This window comes from Homo sapiens, chromosome 20 (assembly GCF_000001405.40).
Source record: "Homo sapiens chromosome 20, GRCh38.p14 Primary Assembly".
Lineage (NCBI taxonomy): Eukaryota > Metazoa > Chordata > Mammalia > Primates > Hominidae > Homo > Homo sapiens.
Genome location: NC_000020.11, coordinates 49,572,205 through 49,583,620, shown reverse-complemented (window position 1 = coordinate 49,583,620; position 11,416 = coordinate 49,572,205). Strand labels below are relative to the sequence as shown.

Below are 11,416 nucleotides of genomic sequence, written 5' to 3'. Positions count from 1 at the left end.
ACAAGAAGCTCTTCGTGAAGGGAGAAGGAAACTGAGGACCAGAGAGGAGAAACAACTTGCTTGAAGCCACACAGCTACATAGTGGCATGTGTGCATTTAATATTTACTGAGCACCTACTATGTGCAAGTCTCCATGGTGGGTGCTATGAAGACAGGCGCGAGCAAACAGGACAGAGAAGGGATTTGTTCTTGTGCGAATTTCAGTCACAGTCAAATCTTATTATTATTATTTTTTTAGAGACAGAGTCTCTCTCTGCCCCCCAGGCTGGAATGCAGTGGTGCAAACTCAGCTCACTGCAGCCTCAACCTCCAGGGTTCAAGAGATTCTTGTGCCTCAGCCCCCTCAAGTAGCTGGGACTACAGGCACATGCCACCACGCCTGGCTAGGTTTTTTGTTTTTGTTTTTGTTTTTGTAGAGACTGGGTTTTGTCATGTTGCCCAGGCTGGTCTCAAATTCCTGGGCTCAAGCGATCTTCCCGCCTCTGCCTCCCAAAGTGCTAGAATTACAGGTGTGAGCCACCGCGCCCGACCGACCCTTGATATTATTGAAGGTTAACATTTACAAAGCTTTTATCATGTGCTGGTCACCATTCTAAGTACTTATTAAATCTTCATAATTACCCAGTGAGGTGGCTGCTGTCATTTTACAGATAAGGAAACTGAGGCACAGTGAGGTTGACACTCACTTGGAGCCACATGCTAGTACAGTGGGCTGAATGGTGGACCTCTAAGAAATCAGGTTCTCCTAATCCCAGGAGCCTGTGAATGTTACCTTATATGGTAAAGTCTTTGCAAATATGATCAAATTAAGGATTTTGTGATGAGGATATTATCTGGGATTATCTTGCTGGGCTCTAAATGTTATCACATGTATTAAAAGCATGCATGTCATATGCTTCGTAAGAGGAAGACCAAGGGAGGGTGGACAGACACACAGAAAAGAAGACAACGTGAAGACCAAGGCAGAGATGGCAGTGATGTGGCTACAAGCAAAGGAATGCTGGCAGCCACCAGCAGCTGGAAGAGGTATGGAGTGATTTGTCCCCCAGAGCCTCTGTGGGAGCATGGCCCTGCTGACACCTTGACTTCAGCTGAGTGAAACTGATGCTCACCCTCTGGCCTCCAGAACTGTGTGAGAATAAACTTCTGTTGTTTTGAGCCATCGAGTTTGTGGCAATTTGTTATAACAGCCACAGGAAACTAAGCCTAATAGCTAGGGAATGGCCATGCCAGGATTCAAACCCTAGCAGCCTTCCAATTTCTAGCTTTACAGATGTGCCTTAACTCTTTTTTTTTTTTTTTTTTTGTCATCTGTCAATCCTAGTCCTGCAAGAAGGTAGATAAGATTGCTTAAAAAACAAACTCTGATAGGTCAGCTGGCTGTTGCGCTGTTAGTCTTTGCTGGGGGACCAGGCACTTCTTAAGATGGTTTCTCCTCCTGCAGCTGGCTAGCCCAGGTTTGTTCTCATGGTGGCTATCCAGAGTTCCAACAGAGAGGGGAGAAGTGAAGAAGACTCTTGAAGCCTAGGTTGGAAGCAGGCACAGCATCACTTCCCTTGGATTCCAGTGGTCAGAGCAAGTCTCAAGGCCAAGCCCAGATTCAGATCATGTGGAAATAAACTCACACTGCAAAGGGCTCGGATGCAGGAAGGTCATTAATTAGGGCATCAATGTGAGAAAACTACCCTAGTCTCTACCTCCAGATCTAGAAGTGGGAAGGCGACGCAGGCCTGACCGATATGAGCTAGAGAAAGAAGTAAAGGGATTTGCATCTGACCTTAATAAGGCCAACCAGAGTTAGTCCCAGAGTCTCCTTCTGCTGGCATCACCAAGCTGCCAGGGCATAAGGACTGCTAAGGCTATCTTGATACAAAACAGGGAGAGGCTGCCTGAGGGAGAAGCCAATACAAAGGAAAGCATTGCTTAGAGAGAGAAGTGAGTCCTGGCAACATCCATGGAGCCCCTGGATCCTGCCATTCCTGAAGCTGTTTTTCTTCCCAGTTCCCTGAAGCCAGGATTTCCCACCACTGGACTTTCCCTGCTTGAGCCATTAAATTATTGTTATTATTATTGTTAATCAGGTAGAGAGAGAGAGAAAGAGTTTTTCCTTTTGGGATCAAGCGCCATGGTCAATTGGAGCACAGATGCCTCTGAATCTTGCCTTATGACCAGGAATGGGAATACACAGTTAATAGGAGCAGAGAAAAGGCAGGCCTCGAAGTTGAACATCCTGGAATCTAATGCTGCCTCCGTTACTTGCAAGCTCCACAATGTTGGTTAAGGGAGTCCTGATTCTTTCCATCCAGAATGGTTATGAGGATTCAAGGAGCTTGCGTACCTATACGGCTTTGTGCAGAAGGGACACTCACTAAATGACATTTCCTAACCTTGACCTCTCTCCTCGGAGCTCAGTTTCCCTGTTACCAAAGTGGTGTTCAGGCAGAAGCTTCTTGAAGAGGAGCAGAGGAAGGTGGGAAACTGATCAATGGAGTTTGTCCCTGAAATACCCCAGGGGAAGCCTGTCTTGCCTAAATAGACAGTTTAAATGATTAGCCTGGCTTAAGATTTTGTATTTCTTCCAGTGTGAGGGCTCATGACCAACATCATACCATGGACACAGAGCAGTAGCAGGGACTTTTGTGGTTTTTATTAAATGCCACACCCGTGTGTACATATGTCCCTTAAAGGAAACTGAGACTCAGAGAAGTTAAGTGACCTGCCTGAGGTCACATAGTGGCAAAGCCAAGATGTAAACCCAGGTTCTCTGGCTCCAGCATGTCTCTTGCTCCTAATCACTGAACTAGATGACATCCATGGAAAATGTAAAAGGCTCATTTTTCTTTGCATATCTGAGTTCAGAGTAAGGAAAAGTTCAACTCCAACACACTAGCATATCTATGTAAACAGACCCTTAATTTTTGTGTGCAGGAAGGAGCATTCCAGGACTTATAAACTAGCTATGCTTGGGCTGTTTCCAGGTCTGGACATATTTTATTTGGTCCACACAGTATCTTACATACCGGAAAAAATGCACATTGGAAAAATAAGCCTTTCCCCCACTAGCTTCTCTTAAAAACCATAGGGCTAGAGCTGAGCAGTGAGGTTGGATTTGAAGGGGGAGTCTGTCCACTGTAGGGGGAGGGTGGGGAGGAGGCTTCGACCCCTGAATACAGCTCAGTCTGAGGCAGTTTCCTGCGCCCTGGGGAGACCCCATCTGGGTCCTGGGTTTCCCAGGAGGCGGCCATTCACTCCAACAGGGAGAACAATGCCCTCCTGTTCCCCTGCCAGCCTGGAGTCCTGGGAGTGAAGAGAGGCAGCCTGGGCCTCTGACTGGAGCCCAGACTCCACCATTCCCGGTTCTGTGGCCTTGCCTTCTGTCTGGGCTTCCCATTCCTCATCTGTAAAATGCGCACACAGCCGTCCCTGCCCAGCTTTCAGCCCTCCCACCCCACTTTCTGACCCGCCTTTGGGGGATCATCCTTCCCACCTTGTTTGGTTGACCATCAAGGTCTGTGGGCAGGCACATGACCCAAACATGGCCAATCAGACTTTCTCGTGGGAGAATCAGAAACTGAAGCGGAAGGAATGCTGAGATTGGAAACAGCTGGAGCCCCGAAGACCTGGCCACTGGTTCCTGCTCCCCACACCCCTGGCTCCTGCTCCCCGCGTTCCCGGAGCTGCTTGTTCCTGTCCTTTCCAAGTCCCAGCTGGTCAACTTTTCCTTCCAATACCTCGTCCCCACCTTTTCTTTTTCTTAAATTAGCCAGGGTTGGTTTCTGAGGCTTGAACAAACCCAAGTACTCTGCCTGATGCCAGCATGACAATTTCTGCTTCTAAAGCTGGTATGAGGGTCAAATGCTATGCACTAGAGTATAAACTGTGAAGTGCCATCCACATATGAGGAATTGTCCAGGCACTGGCACATCGCAGTTATGAACTTGGGCCTCAGAATCAGAATTTGATTCCCAGCTCCACCCCTTTCTTGCTGTGTGACCTTGGGCTGCTTGCTTCCCCTCTTTGAGCTTCAGTTTCCTCACCTGGAAAGTGGAGATGATACTGGTATTAAGACCAGCTATATACTTTGTGGGTACCAGAGTAAAGTAAAATCATGGGGACCCTTGTTCAAAAATAATTAAGAATTTCAAGCTGGTGACAGGAGAGCGCTAAGCCGAGCATGAGACCATTCTGGGTGCAGGGGCCTATGTGAGCACCCAGGTTGCATGTCCATGAAGCTGGCCCTGACTGCATAGAGCTTGCTGCGAATGGGGCATCTTATCCAGGCTGGGCAAGGAGTGCAAAGCTGTGTCACTCTAATTCATATCTGGTTGCCTCCCAGAAAGCCCTGGAGAAGGTTTACGAAATGAGAATGTAATAAGGTTTCATCCATTAAGCACCAGGTATGAAACAAGTACTTCACATACTACCTTATTCAGCTTCAGAATGGAGAACTTTCTTCTATTGCAAGTGAAAGAAACTCAACCCAAATTGGCTGAAACAAGCAAACAAAAATAATTTAATGGTTCATGTGGTCAGGAGCATTCTGGCTTCAGGCATGGCTGAATCCGGGGGTTCAAATGATATCTCAAGAAACTGTATTTCCCTATCTCTTGGTTCTGCTGCCCTGTAAGTCGGTTTCATTCTCAGACATGCTATCTCCAGGCAGAGGCAAAAGTGGTCCCCCAGTATCCTGCCAGGTCAGAAATCACAGGCAGAAGGTCCTTCTGATCACCAAATAAATGGTTAGGGAGACAGAGAACTCTCTCCAGCGTGTCTGGTATTAGTGGAGGGAGGTTGGGAGGCTGTGAAAATAATGCTAATAGCCCACATTTATCCAAGGCTTTCCATACTTCCAGAGATTAACTCTTTTCATCCTCACAACCAACTCCATTTGACACCTGGGGAAACAAAGGCACAGATAAGCAATATGCCTGAGGCCTTTTAAGTGGGGGGGCGGGTGCCAGGCTTTGAGTTCACATAGTCTGGCCGTGGAGCCCAGGCTCTCTCACTCTAGCCCTCTGCGGACATGCAGGACATGTAGACATTTGGGCTATGTGATTGCCTGTGCATCAGAGTTTGGAGCTGTGAACCATGAGCGTGGCTGAACATCCACCAAAGATTTCTATTTTTTTTTTTTTAAAGCAGTGAAATGTTTGTGTGTTTGAGATGAGATTTTTTTTTAGACAGCATCTCACTCTGTTGCCCAGGCTGGAGTTCAGTGGCGCGATCTTAGCTCACAACCTCCGCCTCCCAGTTCAAGCGATTCTCCTGCCTCAGCCTCCCAAGTAGCTGGGATTACAGGTGCCTGCCACAATGCTCAGCTAATTTTTGTACTTTTAGTAGAGATGGGGTTTCACCATGTAGGCCAGGCTGGTCTTGAACTCCTGACCTCAGGTGATCCACCTGCCTCGGCCTCTGAAAGTGCTGGGATTACAGGCGTGAGCCACCGTGTCTGGCCAAGATGAGATCTAACATGATCTAACATGGAACAGACACAGGAGCTGATGCCTGGTGAAGTGGGGCTGGGGGATTATTGCCCTCTGGGGAGGTGCTGGGGTGGGAGGGAGAGGAATGGAGGTCACACAGGCTTGTTGCATTGCGATCTGAGACTATTGTACTTTTATTCTGCTTTTAAAAAAATTATTGCCATGTTCTTTGTGGCTTACTAGGTAGCCAGTGTTTGTGGTTCACTATGTTATTTTGACTTTCTATTTCCTTTTTTTTTTCCCTTGGTATTTCAAGAGCTGAGAGAAGTGACTTAAAATGTCCTTGCTCTGTAACTATCTGTTGCTGTGTTATCTGGTGCATGGATGCTCACACCTTTATTTATTTTTATTTATTTATTTATTTTTTGAGACAGAGTTTTGCTCTGTCGCCCAGGCTAGAGTGCAGTGGCTCAATCTCAGGTCACTGCAACTTCTGTCTCTGGGGTTCAAGTGATTCTCGTGCCTCAGCCTCCCGAGTAGCTGGGATTACAGGTGTGTGCCACCATGCCCGGCTAATTTTTGTACTTTTAATAGAGATGGGGTTTTGCTATGTTGGCCAGGGTGGTCTTGAACTCCTGACTTCAAGTGATCTGCCTGCCTTGGCCTCCCAAAGTGCTGGGATTACAGGCATGAGCCACAGCACCCAGCCAATTTTCTTTCTAGTCTTTCTAATGTTTTCTTTATTTCTGTCTCATTTTTTTCCTCTTTTTCCATTTCTGTTAACCGTGTCCTTGCTGTATTTTCTGCAGGGCCTATTTCCTTCCCCTCCAATTTTGTCTTCATTTCTGATATTTTTTTTTCTTTCTACTTCTTTCCTGAGTGCTAACCCTTCATGTTCATTACCTCCTTTTGCCTGCCTTCTTTTTGAGTTCTTCAGTTTCCTTATTGTCCTCCTTCACAGAGGTAGTTGCTCCATTCAGTTCTCCTAAGATGTTTCTTTCTTTCTTTCTTTAAATTTGAGACGGAGTTTCACTAGTTGCCCAGGCTGGAGTGCAATGTCATGATCTCAGCTCACTGCAACCTCTGCCTCCCACATTCAAGCGATCTCCTGCCTCAGCCTCGAGAGTATCATGTTGACCAGGCTGGCCTTGAACTCCTGACCTCAGGTGATCCACCTGCCTCGGCCTCCCAAAGTGCTGGGATTACAGGCGTGAGCCACCACACCCAGCCTCCATTCAATTCTTTTTTGAATTTATGCCAATATGATTTGGATATAATTTTCATCCATTTTGTGTTAACACTTTCATCTATTGGTAGATTTTTCTGCTCTTCATAATTTATCATAATATCTTTGTATCAAGGCTTTTACACTTTTTCAAAAGCTTGTCATTGGAAGGGCTTGGTTTTCCTGGGTCAGGTATTTTGCTGATTGCTCCTATGGGTGTAAGGAAGAATTAGGGTAGCTTCATGGGCTCTGTAACTGTGGCTCTCCTCTGCTGCCATAGAGACAGACTGCTTCCTGCAAATATGTCTTCTCTCTGTAATTCTTCACTATACCTCCTCTGTTTCTCTGAACCAAACGAGATCCAGGAGAGCTTCTGCTGCTAATCGTATTCACCCAAGCTTCTACATTCATTTTTATAAAGAAGGAACATAACTTTCATCTCATGGCAAGCCCTCATCCCTAGGAAGTGTAGTTTTGCTGATGCTTTCTGAGATTTGCTATCACTGAGCCCACTCACCACTCCCATGTGGCTTCTGCCCTGTCTTAGCTGCTTCACACGTACTCTGAAGCCGATGAATTATATGTCTCTCCTGGCTTTGCTAAAAATGGAGTTTGTGGTTTGGTTTTGTATATTTGTTTTTCCATTATTCTTGATGCTCTGGTATAATTTCTAGAAGGAGAGGGTAAATGTGGCCTTAGGCAGCCATTTTTCTACCCCCACTATCTAACTGGATCCTCTTTAGTAACTCCTTGACATAATAAGCAAAGCAGCTATGACTGCTGTCCCATTTTCAAGATGAGAAGCCAGAAGTTCTGAGGTTCTTGGGGTGCTTCAGGGTGGCAGGAGCATCATCACTCAGGGTCTGTCTGGGTGACAGATCAACATGGGTCTCTTTTCTCCTTGCCTTCCATGCTAGGCTGGCTCTCAGGCAGGACAGCAGGGAGTTGAGGAGACTGAGGTCTGACTTCATCATTTTTTCCACTACAAAGTGCCAAGGCAGCTGGTTGGGAGCCGTGAGGCCACCTGTCCCCCGTCCTGGGAAAACCAAAGGATGAGAAGCTTGCTGGAGTCCCTCTCCTGTAGCACCCACCACCTCTGGCAGATAGCCTGGGAAGAGGGGCAAGACCACTCCAGAACATCCTCTCACAGGCTAAGACAAGGTCTAGGTGGAATTAGCCTGGGAACGCTGAACGAAAGGCCGCCTGGCCCAGCCATGTTTGCATCTGGGTAGCTGCCCCACCTCTGGGCTCTTAGCCAAGCACATTCCCTACATAATCCTGGCTCTCCTGGGGAAGGATGCTGGAGGATGGCTCCCCTGCAGCTGACATCCTTGCACTTTAGAGACCTTCAAATCTCCAAAGGCCCAGGCCTGTGCAAATTCTTAGAGACAGTCAGCAGCAAGGCCCAGATGGCAGAAAACAGGTCATTTCTTCCAACCCTCTGCCTCTGATTCAGACCTGCTTTCTCTTCATGTATAAAAAAGACCAAGTGAAGAGGTTTTCTGTCTTTCATTTCTTCAGTAAAATTCTTGATAAAGAGGCCTGCACAGTGTTGGCAAATAAATACTTGGTAATATGTGCTGAAAGAATTATGCTTCATCTCTTTTGTTGTTGTTGCTGTTGCTGCTGCTGCTGTGTTGTTGTTGTTGCTAAGACAGGGTCTCACTCCGTCGCCCAGGCTGGAGTGCAGTGGCACAATCTCGGCTCACTGCAACCTCTACCTCCCGGGTTCAAGCAATCCTCCCACCTCAGCCTCCTGAGTAGCTGGAATTACAGGCGCACGCCAGCATTCCTGGCTAATTTTTGTATTTTTAGTAGAGACGGGGTTTCACCACGTTGGCCAGGCTGGTCTTGAACTCCTGACCTCAAGTGATCCACCCATCTCAGCCTCCCAAAGTGCTGGGATTACAGGCGTGAGCCACTGAGCCCAGCCTTGCTTCATCTCTCTTTCTTTTCTTTTTTTTTTTTTTTTGAGACAGAGTTTCACTCTTTTGCCCAGGCTGAAGTGCAGTGGCGCGATCAACCCCCGCCCTTCTGGTTTCACATGATTTTCCGGCCTCAGCCTCCTGAGTAGCTGGGATTACAGGTGTCCCCTACTACACCCAGCTAATTTTTGTATTTTTTAGTAGAGACGGGGTTTCACCATGTTAACCAGGCTGGTCTCGAACTCCTGACCTCATGATCCTCCTGCCTCAGCCTCCCAAAGTGTTGGGATTACAGGCGTGAGCCACTGCAGCCGGCCTAGCATCATCTCTTTTATTAAGTGCCTACTGCATGCACTAGACACAAGATCTTCTTGAATTCGTCCAACCACCATGGGAGGGGGGCCTTGTCGTCATCATCCTCTTGTACAGATGTACCAAGGCTCCAAGAGTAGAAAGCAGCCTATTCTAATTTAACTGGTACAAAGAACATTCAACCAAAAGGATTCTAAAAAGTTCAGAGATAAAGTATACATTAGTCAATTCTTGTTGCTTAAGAAGATCTCAAAATCTCCATGACTTGTAACAACACGTACATTTTTCTTCTTCGGACCTCTGCAGGTCAGCTAGGGGTTCTCTACTTCAGGCTGCAGGTTGAGCTCAGGTTTGCCCTGTGGGTCATGGCTCAAGGCAGAAACCAAGGTCAAGTGGAAATATGTGATTCCTCGTGAAACCTCTGCTCAGAACTGGCAACTGGTCATTTCTTCATCCTCCACTGATCAAATTGAGTCACAGGCCCGAGTCCACCATCACTGAGTCAGGGAGATACTATTCTCTGCTCATAGTGGGAGGCACCGCAACCCTGCAGCCAAGGGCGTGAATGTCTAATTCTGATACAGGGAGTGGGTAAAAATTGGAGACTATGATCTAATCTACTGCAGCACAGTTCCAGGGGTGGCTAATTAATTGTGTGACTTAGCAAAGATTCTCCTCAGGCTCCAAGGTGGCTGCCACAGCTCTGACCCAATCTCTGGCCACTCACACGCTACGCTGAGGTGTGGTGATAGCGTGACCAACCTTCCTGGTTTACCCAGGACCGAGAGGTTTCCCAGGATGCAGGGCTCTCAGTGCTAAAACTGGGAAAGTCTGGGCAAACCAGGATGCGTTGGTCACTTGACGTGTGTAGCAGATTGTTTCTGAACGTTTGGGGGTAACTGGGGCAACATGTGAGTGTGTATGTGAGAGTAGTGCATGTGTGTGTGTGCGTGTGTATGTATATGAGTGTATGTGTGGTGTTATTCCACAGCCCAAGACAGCAAACAACTAAACACTCAGTATGACACATCACCAATAGAAATGGTCATTTATTGGCTCCTAATTCCACAGAGGATGTCACACTGGGACAGGCCCCCAATCTGTGCTCATGTCGGCCTGGTCTTTGCCCCCTCTTTCAGGCTGCCCCCTAAAACTCTGTTGTCCTTCCTTAATTCTACAGAGCAATTTTGTTCAACATCCCAACTCCAAACCTATTTTACATACCCCAAATGTTTAAACCACTGGCCCTTGGCACAACTAGACTGCAGGGCTAAAAATCTGGGGGCAGGTGTGTGCTGTTGGTCTATGCAGCGTTTTAAAATAATTGGAGCCATTATTTCTGGCTTCTCTTGAGTCTAAAGATCTGGCCACACTAGGCATGTATTTCTACGTGGCTTTAGTTGGCTGGTACTGCCAGAAGCTGCTTCCTTTTGGATGGGGCAGCCCTCTCTAGTTTTCCATTGTTCCCATCCCTCCCTGTTGCCTTCCTGATATGACTGGCTCACTTCATTCATTTGCAATACTTGCTCGAAGACTTGAGTTTACCACTCTCTCTTTAGCAGCACAAAAACACCAGAAACGTTGCGGTTTGGGTCTCTCCTTCCCCTCCACCTCTCAACCTCGTTTAGCTTCTGTAAGTGGAAGAATTTATTCTTGCATTGTTCCAGTTTTAGACGGCAGCTGTGCTTCCTTTCGTAGCTGCAGCAGCCATGAAAACACACCTCTGGGACCTCCCTTGGTGGAGCCTGATTGACAGATATGCCATGCTTCCCAGGGTTTGCTCCTAGCCAATCACTGGGGGAAGCAGACTTGTTCTTGGGAGACATAGGGCTCCTCAGGAGGCTCAAGGACAACCTGTTAGCCTTGAACTAACTTACTTACTTTCTTTTTCTTTCTTTCTTTTTTCTTTTTGACAGAGTCGCTCTGTCACCCAGGCTGGAGTGCAGTGGTGCGGTCTCGGCTCACTCTAATCTCTGCCTCCTAGGTTCAAGCAATTCTCCTGCCTCAGCCTCCCAAGTAGCTGGGATTATAGGTGCCAGCCACCACTCCTGGCTAATTTTTTGTATTTTTAATAGAGACGGGGTTTTCACCTTGTTGCCCAGGCTGGTCTTGAACTTCTGACCTCAACTGATCCACCCACCTCAGCCTCCCAAAGTGCTGGGATTACAGACATGAGCCACTGTGCCCGGCCAGACTTGACCTTTCTAAGAATGCACTGCAGCCCACGGTCCCTTCTTTCCTCTGTCCCTTCCTTCCATTTGTCCTCCTTTCTGTCCCTTTCTCCCAGCCCTCTCTGGCTCCCTCTTCATTTTACTCCCTGGCACTCCCTCAATAAGCCTTTAGTATATCTCATCTCATCTTGGCTCTCCTGGAGAACCTGCTCCTAACCGATTTGGAAAAATCAAAAGGTAGAGAAAGAGAGGGCTTCCAGGCAGGTAAACAGCATGAGCAAAGGTGTGGAGGTGGGAAGGCCCAGGGTGTGTTTGCAGCACCAGGGAGTAAGTTAGCTTGTCCTAAGAAGCCATCAAATT

The 11,416-nt window shown here is 47.4% G+C and overlaps 1 annotated feature.

Annotated features, from left to right (window-relative positions):
• Positions 2,927-3,501: an enhancer, noted in NCBI's record as "H3K27ac-H3K4me1 hESC enhancer chr20:48196657-48197231 (GRCh37/hg19 assembly coordinates)". NCBI's record gives its function as "activates a minimal SCP1, AML or CMV promoter by ChIP-STARR-seq in naive H9 embryonic stem cells {active_cell/tissue: H9 hESC(naive)}" and the evidence as "EXISTENCE:reporter gene assay evidence [ECO:0000049][PMID:30033119]".